This window comes from Homo sapiens, chromosome 2 (genome assembly GCF_000001405.40).
Source record: "Homo sapiens chromosome 2, GRCh38.p14 Primary Assembly".
NCBI classification, from domain to species: Eukaryota; Metazoa; Chordata; class Mammalia; order Primates; family Hominidae; genus Homo; species Homo sapiens.
In genome coordinates, this window is record NC_000002.12 from 144,803,087 (window position 1) to 144,819,889 (window position 16,803).

Below are 16,803 nucleotides of genomic sequence, written 5' to 3' on the forward strand. Positions count from 1 at the left end.
ATCAGGTTCTCTGTCTTGTACATACTTTCGGATGAGGTTGTAATTCTTAGTGTCTAATCTAGTGCCCAGATGGATTCTGGCATACATTGCAAGCTCAGTGTTTTTTCTTTATGGACAAACTGTTTAGATGTTTACTTTCATATCAGTGATTTCAACACCACCTGTGATTCTGGATACCAGAGTAGAACTGCATGTTATAAAGAACAACAGCATTGACCTGACTGATTGGGGCAAAGCAGATAAACATTTGCTTAAAACTTGAGCAAGGGGAGAGGAAGAATTGTTTAGAAGTGGAAGTGTTAAAAAAAAAAAAAAGGAAATTATAGAGAGGGATTATCGATTATCTAACAAAGCAATTCAAGAATATCTACTAGAACAATGGAAATTTGCCAAATATAAAAATAACCAGAGAATGTAAGTTCACTTTTGAAACAATTAAAACCACACTGATATTCCTAATCTGATCTTTATTTTTTATAAACATTTGTTTGACTTTATAATGTTTTAGTGAGGGAAAGTGAGGTATGGTTGAATGATCTTAAATATACCTAGCTATTAATTATGACTATTTCATTTTATAAATTACTAATATTTAAAAGATGTGGCTGTTCTTTTCCATTTATTTGTCGAAAGTCTTGAGCTTCAAGAGATATGGCCTTTTAATTTGGGAAGAATTTAAAAAATTGGAAAGAGGGACTTTTTTATTTTTGTTTTTTGTAGAGGAGAACTGGGAGGCTGAGGATTGGAGATGGGATGCAGATTTTCACTGTAGTACCTTTTCTAAAAAACATTAAAAACCCACTACTATGTATTATTTAATAAAAAATACAAAATATTGAAAAATATCTTCCTTGATTTTAATTCTTTCAATAAATGAAGCATGAATATGGAGCATGACAATATTGGCACGTTAACTTTTTGCTCTGTGTGAGTATCATTTAATATTGGACCAATTACAAAATACGGAAATTATACACGTTTAAATAGACATTGGTTAAATCAATCAATGAAGCTGAACTAAGAGACTACATTGAATGATAGGAAAATCATTTGTTAACATTTAATGAATTGAACAGATAGACCTTTGTTTAAGTGATATTTATAAGCTTTGATTATAATAGAATTCAGACTTCCCAGCACAATATTGTTTTCAGGTTAATTCTGTGGGTTTACTTTTTAAAAATGTGATTAATTTAAGCAGGAGGTTTGCTTATTGTGTGATAGAAAAAGAAAAAAGAAAGGATTAAGAACAGTCTCTCCCTCCCCCCACTTGGCTACCTTCCTTCTAATTCTTCCAACATTAATACAATGTTGCTGACGATGTTATGTTGTTACTAGGTTGTGTCAAATCAAGAGAATAATTGGACATTAAGATTCATCTCTGAATACATTAATTAGATGATTTCTTTATTTCTGTCTTAAGTTACTAATGATTTCCTCTCCATAACTGGGGAAACTCTGTAAGAACTCATTATCCTTTTGGGATTCTATAGCTACTTTAAGATGATTTTTGGTAACAGTAGACTGTATATTAAGTTCCCAAAATTAAAATTTCAAATAGCAAGGGTACTATTTAGATCTAAAATGTGTGCCCTTCAGGGAGTTATTTCTTTTCAGATGAAATATGTTCTATGACAATGGTACCTATGGAGAGACATGAGGACCCCATGAATACTAATATGTTCATCAAGATGATTGTTGATAAGGCACATTTTCTCTAAATGCTGAGATTCTGCAAATATCTCCTCTACAAGTGGAAAACATGGCCATAATTCTCAGCTCAGAGATGATGTGCCTTACTGCACTAGCAACTCATTGCGAGTAGGTTATCAATTTTTCTGTGTTCCTAGTGCCTTGCCTAGTGCAGATTATAAGAGACACTCAGTAAATATGTTATTAGCTAATTAATAAAATAACCAAACCTCTCAGAGTACACAGATGCTAAGCTAGAAATTATCTGAGGATTACTCCTGTTGTAATATTCTGTGAACTTTGCATAGGTATGATTTTGTAGGTGGTAAAACTTTACAAAATATTTCATCAAAATATCTCAAATTGTTATAATTTGATGACATATTCCATAAAGTTACACTTCAAAATGATAAGAAATTAATCAGATACTTTATATTCTTCAATACATCAATACATATGGCTAAAATTCACCAAATCTTAATGCCAGGGAACATGAATGGGGGTGATGAGTTAAAGAATTACCAATATGGAGTTCAGGGCTGGTAATGCCGGGGAGGAACTCCAAAGAAAAACTCAGCTTCATTCACTATTTAGTCCTTAAAGCACTATTTTTCCCTGCCACCTTTTGCCCAGTATGCTTCGGTGCCATCTTCTCTTTGACACAATGGATATTATTCCAAAATCTTTAGTGTAAATCAAATTTTTATAAATTAGACCACAGCATTCAGTAGAGTTGCTGTACTATAGCACATACTGTGTTCCAGGCTATGCAGGTAGGGCCAGATCTTGTCCTCACAGATCTATAATCCAGTGAGAGAAACACACAGACACATAAATGATAATAACATGAGACAGAGTACCACTGAGAGGAAGAGAAGAAGCATTCTGCCTGGGCCTAGCATGGAATGCTGTAGGTAAAGGTGCCCTGTGAAATGCCCTAGGGCTCAACAACAAAATGAAGTAGGTTACGAATGCTCTTCAAAGTTCTTTTGTTTTCAAATAATACATCCTGAAATGTATCAGTAATGTATTTAAGTTTTCTATATGCTTACTTTTTTTTTTTGGGTAATAGGTTTTGCCAAAGAACTGAAATCAAATGACTCTTTAAAATTGGTAACGCGGTAAGTTCTTTTACTGCCTCCACTCGCTGCTGCCCACATAGAATTGTTTGTGCTCCTGAAAGCTGCCAAATGTACTTTCAATTTTTATATAACTGTTATAGGTAAAGGCAGGATTATGGATTTCTTTCAGTGCCTTCCTTGAATTGACAATCAGTATCCCTCTTTGGCAAGGAGATGGAGTTGTTGCTTTTCTGTTCATTGTAAGTTACAACCTTATAAGTGTTACAGTGATTTGTTAACAAGCAGAAGCGATTCTAATATTTTGATTTTAATCTTGCTCCATTCTGTTGTTTTACCTGCTTAGTTTGGCTAATGAAAATGACATGCTACAATAACTCAAGGCAGGCTAAAATTGAACTACTGGATGAATTCTTTTGACAAAATTGTTGACTATATATTATATTCTAGGCCTTATGTAGAACTCTGAAAATAGAGATAAGGACCAAAACAAACTCAGTTCCTGCTCTAAGAATGAGGTTTAAGGTCTGTTAGGGAAGACACACGTTAATCAGATAATCACACAATAAATGTAGACTGACAGATTTAGGTAGTAATAATAATAGCACTAGAGCCATAAAACTCAATTGAATGGTTTTAGGTGTGTGTGTGTGTGTGTGTGTGTGTGTGTGTGTGTATGTGTGTTCTCATGTGATCATATTAACTTTTATGAAGGATTCTGTCTGCGGTGTAATTGGTATTGCCAACAGTGGATACGAGCAAACCAGTCAGGAAGTCCAGAAAAGACAGCAATGCTATTTTATACTAAACAGTAGTGACGATGAGAGAAGTAGACAGATGACCCAATTACTACTTCAGTAAAGGATTTAGAGGAATTTAAGCATTAATATTTATCAAGTGCCTATAATGTGCCAAATATTCTTTTAGGTACTAAGCATACAAAAATGAATACATTAAAAATCCCTTTCCTTAGGAAGCTCTCTGTCTACTCTGACATTCCCAAGAATGGTCAACTATGCATTCATGTAAGAGAAGAGTAACACAAAGCAACTGATGTCAGGGGATTCGTATTCACTTACCCTTTTGACTTTGGGGTATAATATGTGACTTTTTGCTTTTAGAAATCCTTAAGAATCAACAGAAACAATGCATTTGAAAATACTCAAAATATAAACACAAATAGAATGTCATATTAATTTTCTTCTTTATAGCTTTCCAATTATACCTAGCATAGGCTAATATTTAAATAGATTTTTGTTACTTGAGCACACAGAAATTGAGGAAGCCTCCAGAGCATGCTAACCAGTGACAAAACGATGTCCATTGAAATTTGCTTTTGGTAACAAGAAGGTGATAGAAAAGCATTTGGATTACCAAATAACTTGTAGCAGTATCACCACTGCGGTACCTGCACTGCCTCTGTCCCCATCCCTCACAACTGAAATCAAACTAAAATGGATATATTAGATTAGTAGATTGCATCAACTAAGTTAGAAACAAATTAGAGTTGCTATTATTTTATGTGTTTGAATTCAGGATTTTTGAAACCATCAAATCATTATTTATTGTTTATTATAAAAAATTTTAAACATAAACAAATGTGGGCAGAATAGTAATAATAATGATTGCCCTATTCCCATAATCACTTTCAACAATGATCAGGAGTTTAACCATCTGATTTCATTTATTTCACACTTTTTTATTTTTTGGTTTTGCTGCAGTATTTTTAAACTATTCCAGGTAAAATAATGTCATTTAATCCATTAAACTTCAGTATGAATTTTACCCAATAAGACTTTTTTTTTTTTTTTTTTTTTTTTTTGACAGTGTCTGGCTCTGTTGCCCAGGCTGGAGTGCAGTGGCATGATCTTGGCTCACTGCAGCCCGGACCTACCTCCTGGGGTCAAGCCATCCTCCCACCTCTGCCTCCTGAGTAGCTGGACTACAGACCTGCACCCCCACATACACCTAATTTTTTAATGTTTTGTAGATATGGGGTCTCCCTGTGTTGCCCAGGCTGGTCTCAAGCACTTGGGCTCAAGTGATCCTCCCATCTCTGCCTCCCGAAGTGCTGGGATTACAGGCATGAGCCACTGTGCCCAGCCTAGTTTCAGGTTTTTGCTTTAAATTTTTCAGGTTAGAACATTTCATAAGTGATTCTGTGTATGCTTTTTGTACAAGGCATGCTCGAATGGTGATGTCAGCGTTTAATGTTCCCTAACAAATTTTCAACTACTGACTTTACATTCATTTCATGTCTATGTTCATCATTTCTTTCAGGATTACAAAATGGTGATTTTTTTTTCTAATTCCACCATCCTTTATGTATTTAGTAGTTGGCATTCTTCTAAAAGAAAATTTTTCTTTCATTAACTACTTAGTTGCCTTAAAATGTAGTTTATATGGAACTGACAGGATAAATTCTTGATACTTTTCTCTCTAACTCCTTTAAAATTCAATTTTCGGGATAATGAATTGCTGCCCTGACCACCTCCAAGGCAATTCATGGAATCTTATTAGCTTCTTCTAAACAATAGGACAGCATTACCATGCTATTAAAAATAGTGGTGGGATGGGGAATATTTTTGTTGTTGTTGATGTTCACATTATTAACAAATTATCAGGCTCTCATATTAGTAAAGGGGAATATTGGCAGAGCAGGATGAGTAGATAATTCAGCAGCAGGCAGGAGACAAAGCAAAAATCAGCCTGATTGTAGTGCAAAGTGGGTCAATGGAGTATGGCAGGTGATGGTCTCTATATTGGCAAAATCACAAAAGAGTTACTTGCATAGATTAAGAGATTTGAAACCCCAGATTTATGCTACATAGGTGCATTTTAGAGCTCTTAATTTTCAAAATGGGAACCTGGTCCTTTTTAGTCCTATTTTCCAAAAATGTGTTATTAGAAATGTTTAAGCCTGTGGTGCCAAATTAAGTTGCAAGCTAACCAGCTAATTTGTCTCACAGCTAACTAGTGGGACCTGCCCACTCCAGTTAGCCTGGGACTTTCCAGTTTGAATACTAACAGTCCTGAATCCTGGGAACCCCTTCAAATCTTGAGCAAAATGAATGATTGATCACCTTAGCTAAGAGAAATTTTTTACTTACAAGATACTCATACCCAATGTTCAGTTCTACAATTGAAAAGTATATGTACAATTTGCTTTGTTTGCTGGCCCATCCAATCATTTCATTCCCGTTTGTGACCACCTGCCCATGTTTACAAGAGGCTATGAAGGAAAGGCTACATTCAAGGAACTGAGAAAGTGAGGTCACCAGGCCATATGAGAATCAAAACGTTGCTGTTGGTTTTACTATCACCTGTTTTAAGTTTATCTGAAAATGAGGGTTGGAAATAATGATTTCTGCATAATTGTTTTTGTAGTTTTGTTAGTTACATCTTGCTTGGAAAAAGTAATCTGAAAAATTATTATTACTATTTTTGTAGTTTTGAAATGGAATTGCCAGCATGCTAAAGATACACCATTCAGTTCTCATCCCACTTTGCATAGCTTGGAATCTATGATCCTGCAAATATCTTTTAACTGCATTTTGGTAAATATTTTATTCTATAATATTTTTATATAATTAGGTAGCCCCAATTGGTGAGGGTCAATTATTCATGTGTATACAAATTTTTATCTCACCCTCTGAATACCTATTTATGGGATCAAAGTTCTATTTCATATTCTCAAAATACATTTTATCTAGTTATTCTCCTCTATGCTGTTGTCCTACTCCAATATAGTGTAACCAGACAGATGTATTGCTATCCATTGAAACTAGCCAAATGTTGGGATTTTATTCCCATCAGATCAAGCATATCCACAGATGGGATGAAGAGAATGATTCAGCTGCTTCTCAAAATCCCTACCTCATTGGCAAGGACTTTTCAACTGTGGCTGCGCCTAAGACAATTTTAGCAAAAACCATGTGGGAAAAATGTAGGAAATTGTTAGTGCCCAATATACAGACGATAGCAATACAAGGTGCAATCTAAAAAGGAAGATAATTAACAGCCATATGGGTAACTTCAGTTCATATTTTTGCAAAGAACTTTGGGAATATTGACTCATGGAAATGGAGCCTGTGTAAGACACAAATGATACTTTTGAACATCTGCCAGCAAGTATGTCAACTACCTGTCCAAGAAAATAAAGAACTATTGTTGCTCCAGCTCAAGTCTTTGTCTTCATTTGTATTTCTTTTTTGATGGCACAAATATAAATAATGCCATTTAAAAATGTCAGAGTTGTTTCCAATTTGGACTAAGGAGAGTTTAGATTCTTAGCCTGGGGAGCCAGGGGCAAAACAAAAAACAAAAAACACTCCTCTGAACCTGGGCATCGTCATCTTTAAATGGGTGACAGCGATGAATCTTCAGTCTACCTCACAATCTCCTTATCAGAATAAAAGGAGATAATGTAGGAAAAAGTGATTTTAAAATAATATACCCCAGTTAAATGTTAGTTATAATTATAGAACTATGTTTTTCTAGTATTTGAGAGGGTACTTTCTATTTATTGATATATTTCTTATAAAAATTTCAAAAGTTAAAACATGCTCAACAGCATATTATGTAATGATTGGTACCTACTAGACATTCATAAATATATTCTTTCTTAATTTATTGGATCAGACAGCATCATGTGTATTTCATTCTAGAAAGAAACTTATTAAGATTTGTCTCGCGTTTTTCCTCATCTGCACTTCAACTCTGGCTGGGGTTTTCAAATGCTCTATCTATAGATATTCTTTTATTTCATACTCAGCTATTTTAGGAGAGAAAAGAGACCTTGTTTATTTCTAATAATACAAGTTTTACTGCATAAAATATATCCCAGTTACTGTCTTTACTGTTTTAAACATTTTCCCAGGGAAAAAATTTTCATCGTGTATTAAACTAGATGTCTAACTGGATTGATTCTCACCCTGAAGTCACTGAAACAACATTTTAATGCCACTTTCAAAATATAAATTTTGATGTAGTTTTCAAAGGTGAAATGAATAAAAATTTTGAAGCTAAAAATAAATAAAAGAATGTGACAGTCATCTTACCACCAAAAATACAGGCATCAGCACTCCATTTGCTCTTTTCTAATTTAAATAATTAGAAAAGACATCAACAATATATTTTTGTCAGGTTTTATTGTGCAGAAGACAATTATCAGACTCTTTTGGAATGGCCATTTAAGGCCTTCTGATATATCTCCTTAAATTTGCTGTAAGTGCTCCCAGTCATATTTGATTTCTTTAATTTTACAGGATCAGAGGGAAACAGACCATTTTCTATTGTGACAAAGAGAGAACCCAGGAAAGGGGCAGTGTTTTTCCCCTCACAGGTGATGGAGTTTTTATAAAGAATGCAGCGGATAATGGCAGGCTTGTCCTCTGAACAGATGGTGATGGTCTTGTTGCTAGGATGAGGCCTCAAGAATTTAGTTTTTAATTCCACATTATTTGCCTCAGTGCCATGAATATCCCTAGGTTTCCTGAGGCAAAAATACAGAAAAAAAATCCACAGAAAGAGTGACACACAGAGAGAGAAAGAGCAAGAGATGGGGCAACTGAGCAGAGACTGGAGCCCGGTCAAGAGAGGCTTTGGGGAAAATGCCTGCTCAGCTGTCTGCAATCACCTGGGTTTAAAGCAGGCAGGAAGGAAGATTGGTTTGGCAGGAGAACTGGCCCTTTGATGCCTTCGATACCACAGAGAAAAATTCCCATTTCTTCCCATTAGAAGTCTGTTTACTTTCCTAATTAAGATAAACATGTTTCTGAAGGAGTTAGCTCTTATAGCATGACATTTATAAAATCAACTATATATACACACAAGAATGTTTGCCAGGAATTTGGGCTGATGGTGATTGTATGAAGCATTTTATAGAAATATTTTTAAATAGTTGCCTTATTTAAAAATGAGCGACTTTCATTCCCTCCAGTCAATTAAATATCTAATTTCAACTCTCGGAGATAATAACTGAAGTAGTTTTTTTAATAAATGAATGAACAGTTAGAAAACTGTTAAACACATAGCCCTGAAGCATGAAAAATATATTCGTTGAACAGCTTTATTCTTTTATTGTTAATTTACTTCAGAGAATATCCACTCGTGTAATTTTCAATAAAGTACTCTTATTTTGAAGTCTCCTTTATTGAATATAAGAGTGATGTATGTGATTATAGGCCAGTAGGCTAAAGAAGTTAGAGATTCTGAACACAAGGGTGAATGAGGGTGTAACTAGGTATCAGAACAGGATTACCTACCAGAATTGTCAGACCACCTGCCTGAATTAGTCACTTGAGTCAAACAATTACGTTCCATGCCACCCCTCCAACACATACACCGTAACTGACATTAATCACTTGTCTCAGAATTATCTGAATGCAACTTTAATAATTCAGTAATTGACCACCTGAATTTTTTGGCATAATGTGACTGATGGCATTGTACACAAGTCTCACACTTAAGCTGTGTCTCACTGTAAAATGTTCACGTGTTTGCCGAGTCTTACACTATGGTTCAGACGAAGATCAGGTACCTGCTAGTGATGAGAAATCTATCCCTCGCTCAAAATGGTTATTAGTAATTCACAGTGGAGAGCTGTCACTGAAGCCTGTATTATTTAGCCTAGAAGCATAAATCACCTACTATTACTGTGTTTCAAAAGCTGTCAGTCACACTCAGGTTTTATATTAGTTGGTTTGGAGGGAAATGATGCCATAGGTTTTCATTCCTCCACGTCTCCTCTAACCGTATATGGATGACTCTCCACAATTCTTCCTCCCCTGACTAACTGTCCAGTGTTTTAGGGGTCCTTCTTGCAAAATGACCCAACATTTGTGTTTTTTAAATGCCTACTGTCATCAAAATTACCTGTTTGCTATTATACACACCTTGGGCTCTTAAGAAAACTGTATGGTCTGATTGATTTAATTCCAGGTAAGGTGCTAATGACTTATTAATGGCTTCCTAGGTAACGTGTTTGCTTTTTGGTAAAGATTTTTAATGATGTGAAAAAAAATAATGACTAGTGATTAGAATTCTAAATGCTACAAGAAAAATGATAATACACACCTGGGGAATGTCATGGGGAATGGGACAGATATTTTTGGCAAGGACACTCTCCAGTGTTTCTCAATGCACATCTACTAAATATCTATTAAATATCTGACCAGCCCTGTTTTAGAGAATTTTTGCCATATTCAACTGTGTATGCATCTGAAGATGTGACAGACGCTGTAATCTGGCTCTTTATTTCTACTGAAACATGCTATAAAATGTGTCCTCCAAAAAAGTAGACTTGATTTATAAGCAATTATTTTAAAAATGCTCAATTACTAAACTATTCATTTAGCCAAATTTATTTTAAAACATTATTTCCAAACTTAATTTGCAAGGATATTCAGTCATATTTTATCTTAAATTAATTCAAGCTTTCTACCATAAAACATTGGATAAGCATTCATCGAAAAAATGCATGCATGAGTTTTACCTAATTGTGTAAGTCACAAGTGATTTTGATATATTCCTCTGCTTTTTGGTATTGTGTCCAACTTTAATAAATTGACAAGCATTACTTTATAATTTTATATAAAGAAAACCTCAAATATTTTCAGATAAAAATACTGTACTTATATGTCCTTTAAATTTAAATGGTTTACATTTTAGGATATTTTACTTTGAAAGTATCTCACTTTATGTTTGTTATTGCCAATATTTAAGGGCATATATGTATATCTGCATCTGCTTTATATTTGGATGGCCAGATTAAAAAACAAACAAACAAAAAAAACACACCATATTTCAGAGTTACCAGATTACCAGAGAGCTGAATTTAATAACTGTGAAGCCCTGTTGAGTGTGGTCTTAAATTCTGCGCCCCCCACCTCCTTTTAAATATGGAGTGTTCGTGCTGGTAGCAGACTTTAAAATGATGATTTATGACTACTCCCACTTAACACTTTCATGATTTGAATGACCATTCAGTCAGCTTTGAAACCAAAAAGAAAAAGTGAAAGGTCATGGCTGAGTTAAGAAATCATATTGGGTTTTGTGGGTCCCGTTACTTCTGACTGAGACATTTTCACTGGCCAAGCTCATCAGAGACCATTAGGTGATGAATTTTGTTAAGAGATCTGGGAGGAAGAGGAAAAATATTATGGATGGAAAAAATAATCATGTGCTTTTTAAAAACAAAACCAAACCTTGTTTTCTTCACATGAACCCCCTGTATTTGTTGATTTTTAGTGTTGTGTATTTATTTCCTGACAAATCACAAAAGCTATGTGATAAGGAGAGAAATGCAATTGTATTATTGGTTGATTTCCTGTGGTAGCACTTCAGGGGCTCCGGGCATTCACTACAAAGTTCAGTAATTGTACTATCTAGCTTGGTGGGTAAGTTATACAAAAGGGAACAAACTGTGAAAATGGTGTGTGCTATTTTTCAGTGAGGATGTTATCAATCTGTTTAAGTAAACTTTGGTATTACCCAGAAGATTGTTCTCTGCTTATTACATTGCTTATGCTGTGTTCAAATTGTGTGATTGTTCTGTCTTAAATGAACTCCACTGCATGTAGATTTTGCAGGGATCTCTAAACAGTGGGTAGTTTCATTACACATGACAGCTATGGATATTTTACATGCAGCCAAATGCGTTAAAGACAAAAGTTATTTTTTAGCATTATTTATTTGTTCAGAGGCCATTACAGTTTAACGAAAGGAGTATATTTGTATACAAATGTGAAATGTATAGAGAAAAAGTGAGGTATTGTATGGTTTTATATCTGAATGTAAAATCACCCTGGTGCTTTATGTCTTGGCAATCCCAAAAGAGCTTACCCTGTGTAGAGTAGACTCGATATTTGCCAAATAAAATAAATGAATGATTGATATGATGGATAGTAGTGAGTTACATACAATTAGAGTCCAACTCTATGTTTCAAGTTTGAAAAATAAAGGGAGTAGGTTTAGGAAAATTGTTTGCGAAGAATTTAGGATTAGAATAAAAGCAGGAAGCCCAATTAAGAAAGCATTTTATTCCACATCAAAATTCCAATTTGTGGGAGGTGGACTAGCTGAAGAGAAAGAATGAACAGAGATAAGGTGAAGGAACATGTTGTTTGTTTCTGGAGTCTGGAATTCATTGACTTAGATAGGATTTGAGAGTAATTGAGAGAGTCATTTGCACCTAAGCAGAACTTTTGAGATTATAAATAAGTAAGCTGGATTCTGTATTTGAAGCTTCTCCCTGAAGTTGTGAAAAAGGAGTAGTTCTTCCAATTGTCCAAATTGACAATTTCTTTGGTACATAGGGAATCTGGCTCAATACAGTACAGGCAGTACACGCCCTTCCTGAAAAGTTATCTGAACTATATGTTCCCTACTATTCTCGGTACTATTTTTGAAGGTTACAGAGATTGATTCACCCTCTATCTTGTAATGCTTTTATCTTATTTTTGGAAAAATTCATGTATTGCTAAGTATATATGTTACTATATTCTGCATGTAAAAATATAAGATCATTTTTAATGCTTTAAGAGGATGGATTATTTTTATTTCAATATCTGCAGACCATTTTTTGTGACATGCTCTTTCTATTTCATTTCAACAAATGATTTTGCTCTTTACCCTGAGTTCAATACCATAGAGTTAAGAATGAGGGAAGTGGCAAAATAGAAAGGAAATACACACATATGTACCTTCTAGAAGAATACACTTAAGATTCTAAACGTATTATCCATGTTGATGTAAAGCCTGATTTACTCAAATGAGAGCCAGCCTTATTCAGTGCTCTTTCTCTAAGTCTTAGAATTTGGCTATGAAGATTACGATATTTGGTAACTCATTTCAATAATACCCAAAGGGGCTTTTTATACTTCGTTCTTTTTGCAGAGAGCAAAGGTGGACAAATGTGAGAAGGAAATAACATTTAGCACATAGTTATTTGCCAGGCACTGTCATAAGTACTTTTTAATGTCTTTTCTTTTTCTGTAAAATTTAATTTTTACAGAAGCTGTCCAAAATAGCTACCATGATCCTGATTTATCATGTAAGAAAACAGATTCAGGGATAATAAATAACCTGCCCAAGTTCACAAATGGCAGGGACATGTCTGTCTTTTCTCTCTCTCTCTCTCTCTCTCTGTCACTCCTCTCCTCTCCCTCTCTCACTCCTCTCCTCTCCCTCTCTCACTCCTCTCCTCTCCCTCTCTCACTCCTCCCCTCTGTGTGCCTAGCAGGGGCTGGCACTTCACTAGTGCTCATTAAGCATATGTTTCAGTTGACATTGAATCTGGTTCCAAAGCCAGTGCTTTTCTCACTATTATTACAGCATCCATACTATGAAATAAACTAAAAGCAATTACCGAATTGTGTTAGCTTTGGCTGTATATTATGTATAGTTGGTGCTATATGTTCGTATACTTCAGTTAGCCAATGTGGTTTTGGTGATAGCTATAAGACATTCCTCATTAGAAAATTGATGAAACCTTTATCCAATAATTGTCTCTGTGGCTCATATCCAAGCTCCATTCCATCTGTTCAAAATAAACCACCATCCAAGCCTAGGCTACCCCTCAACACCACAGGATCAAGAGAATATGGTCAGCAGATCAGAAAATACTTTGGCTGGCCACTTTGACATCCATTCTCAATATTTCCCCCACATCTCCATTACTCAACACAGGTCAGTATGGGTGTCAGTTCCCCAAATTTTCCTAAGAAGGAGCTAGGCTACCCAGCTATTCTTCATATTCTGAGATCTCTTATGTACACAAAGTTTATTCATTTTTTCCTTTTCATTAGCCTCTGAATTTCTTACCAGCAACAATCATATTAGAATTATTTATTACTGATTGGCAGCATCTAACACAGCACCCAGTCTGTAGTGTTCTGGATGAATGGGTAAATGCCTTTCTCACTGGCTACTGTTTACTGATGGAAAATTCTGAGTATGTCCTGTTACTTCATTTAAACTTAACAGTTATATGTTACCACTCTTCTCGTATGTATTTGTTTGCTTGGGCTGCCGTAACAAAATACCACAGGTAGCTTAAACAACAGAAATTTATTTTCTTCCAGTTTTAGAGGCTAGAAGTCCAAGATCAAGGGCTTGGTTTGGTTTCTTCTGAAGGCTTTCTCTTTGGCTTGCTTTCTCACTGTGGGTAGCTGCTTTCTCACTGTGTATTCACATGGTCATCCCTTGGTCTGCGGCCTAATCTCCTTTTCCTAAGGCTTCCAGTCATAGTGGATTAGGGTCCATCCATATGACCTCACTTTACCCTAATTACCTGTATTTCTAAATACAGTCAAATGCTGAGGTACTGGGAGTTAGGGCTTCAACGTATGATTTTTTGTGGGACATGACTTAGCTCAAAACATCATAGGACAGTGTGAGGAGCAGAGAGAACTGAAAATGCCCTCTCCCCTATTAATTTTCTTTTCTAGGGAGTGGAGTGGAAATTCCTCCCCATGTAAAAATATGAGAATTGAGGAACCAGTATATGTCCCCCCAAATCTTACTTATCACAAATGTATGAAATGCAAAGCCTCCAGCAAATGAATCTCCCTTTTGATGTTAGTATGTTCTATAAATGCCCCTCACAACATACCTGCAACTTCCCTATGAAAAGATGTTATTAGTCAAATAATGATTTGTCCCTGCAAATGCCCACAAAATCTATAAATCTAAGATGAAGAGCTTTTATGGACATTCCTACTTTTAAGTACGACAAAAATATATTCTAAGTTGTTTGTTGCATGAATTATATCCTGGATGTCACTCATAAAGTAAACTTTTTTGAATTTTGTATTAGGTTGGGCATGAGTACCCTACTAATTTCATCACTGGCCGGTAATATCATATGAGCAAGAAATAAAATTTAATTGGGTTTATTTGTTTTTACTGTTTGCCTCACCTAATTAAAATTGAAATAAGTATCTTGAAGTATATTGCTTTCACATCAAAAATTTAAAATGTGGGGCATTGACTTCTAGTGGTTGGCAGGAGGAAGCAAGGAAACAAATATTGGGGGGTGAAAATATATTGGAGATCTATATTATATAGTGATAAAGATTTGGTAAAACTATTGTGTACAACAACCTGAAAGGCAATAATACTGAGCCTGCCAGTCTAGGAAAAGTTGTTAGAAAGAGCCAGAATAACTTGGAACCAACCCAAATGCTTGTCAATGATAGACTGTATAAAGAAAATGTGGCACATATACACCATGGAATACTATGCCGCCACAAAAAAGAATGAGTTCATGTCCTTTGCAGGGACATGGATGAAGCTGGAAGCCATCATTCTCAGCAAACCAACACAGGAACAGAAAACCAGACACCACATGTTCTCACTCATAAGTGGGAGTTGAACAGTGAGAACACATGGACACAGGGAGGGGAACATCACACACTGGGGCCTGTCGGAGGGTGGGAGGCAAGGGGAGGGAAAGCATTAGGATAAATGCCTAATGCATGCGGGGCTTAAAAGCTAGATGATGGGTTGATAGGTGCAGTAAACCACTGTGGCACATGTATACCTATGTAACAAAGCTGCACGTTCTGAACATGTATCCCAGAACTTAAAGTAAAATAGAAAAATAAAAGAAAGAACCAGAATATTCGTGTATTGCTCTCTGTTGCAATTAGCCAGATATTACAAGAATGAGATAATTTCAAGAACGAGTATGCTGATTTGTGAGTACAAATTCCTTTCTAGAAATGTAAAGGCTATTGCTTCTGTACACCAAAGAGTAGGCAAAAAGGCTGAAAAAACCTTTGACTGCCAAAGTCCCAAGAAAACTCCTCAATTAAAGAAACTAACTCAACAATATAGCAAAGATAAAATTAAGGGAGTTGGGAGTTCTACTTCTGGAGTGATAGTATGAGGAGTTCTGCAGGCCTCCTCCTCATTTAAACTGGTAAACTTTTTTTTTTTTTTTTTAAAGTAAGGTCTCTGAAAGAAGCCCTATGGACATACAGCACAAGAATAAATATTTAAACATTTACTAAAATTAGGCAAGGAATGGGAAAGTCTGTGGTATTTGAACCTCAGTTCAATAGAGACCTGGATTCTCCCTCCCCCTCTTAGCTTAGGGAGACAGAAATTCCACTCCAAATGGGCTTAACCAAAAACACAGGGCTCCCTTTTTCTTTCAGCTCCCAGTTGGTGGGCTCTCTTCCTGGTAGGGGCAGGACATCAGTATTCCTCATCCTGTCTCAGCTACTTATTGTTGAGTCTAAATTCTGGGGAAGTATGGCTAATTGAGTCTTCTTCTACTCAGCTCCCACTCATGGGAAAGAGCTCTGCCTTGAGTGTGGCATTGCTGAGAGTATTGGGGCCTTGGTTGCCCTTGCTCCAGATCAACGGCTAGGAATTCCACACTGAGAGAAGCAAAATGAGGAGACCTGGGGCTAATGACCTCCTTGCTCCCTCCACAATCTACTGAGGGCTAAGCTTCTGAAGTGGGGTTATCACTCAGGGAGAAATGTGCCATTGTCCTTGCCTCTCCTAGCTATGGCTCAGAGATTTTTCTGGGGTTGGCAGCAGAAAGAGAAGAGGAGGTAGGCCAATGGACTAATATGAACCTATATATCCAAATTTCTCCTCAAAGTAACTTATTTTATTTGCAAGAGTGTGAAGAAGTTCAAGGCTAAGGGCACTCTCAAAAAGAGTAGCAGTTGTGGTGAAAGGAATTTGATAGAGAAGTGGAAATGGACACAGTTGGGAAGAGACCTCCTGGAGTCAGGGGCAAATCTCAAATACTTCTCTAGAAACTGTCCCTGAAGAAGCCTGACCTTGATTGGATTAGTCTGTGAAGCAAATTATGCCCCAAGGTATTGGTGAAAACAGCAGAGCAAAAAAAGCCCTGTCCAAACCACTGTCATCCCATGGGTATACACAATATACTCAAGGCTGTACCTCCTGAAGAGCAACAATAGAGGGTTTATGCTGTGGGGGTGGGGGTAGGAGAATAGACTTCACTAAAATAATCCAGCCAGTCACTAAACAAGTAAATAAGAAACAA

The 16,803-nt window shown here is 35.9% G+C and overlaps 2 long non-coding RNA genes across 2 annotated transcripts in view; both read left to right on the forward strand.

Annotated features, from left to right (window-relative positions):
* The window catches only part of TEX41 (testis expressed 41), a 408,763-nt gene that overhangs the window by 135,120 nt on the left and 256,840 nt on the right, over positions 1-16,803 (forward strand). The gene's annotated exons all lie outside the window — the stretch shown is intronic.
* On the forward strand, positions 2,970-7,051 carry LOC105373663 (uncharacterized). The gene is made up of 3 exons (XR_923413.2): positions 2,970-3,013; positions 6,222-6,328; positions 6,588-7,051. It is a non-coding gene; the product is annotated as an uncharacterized LOC105373663 (long non-coding RNA).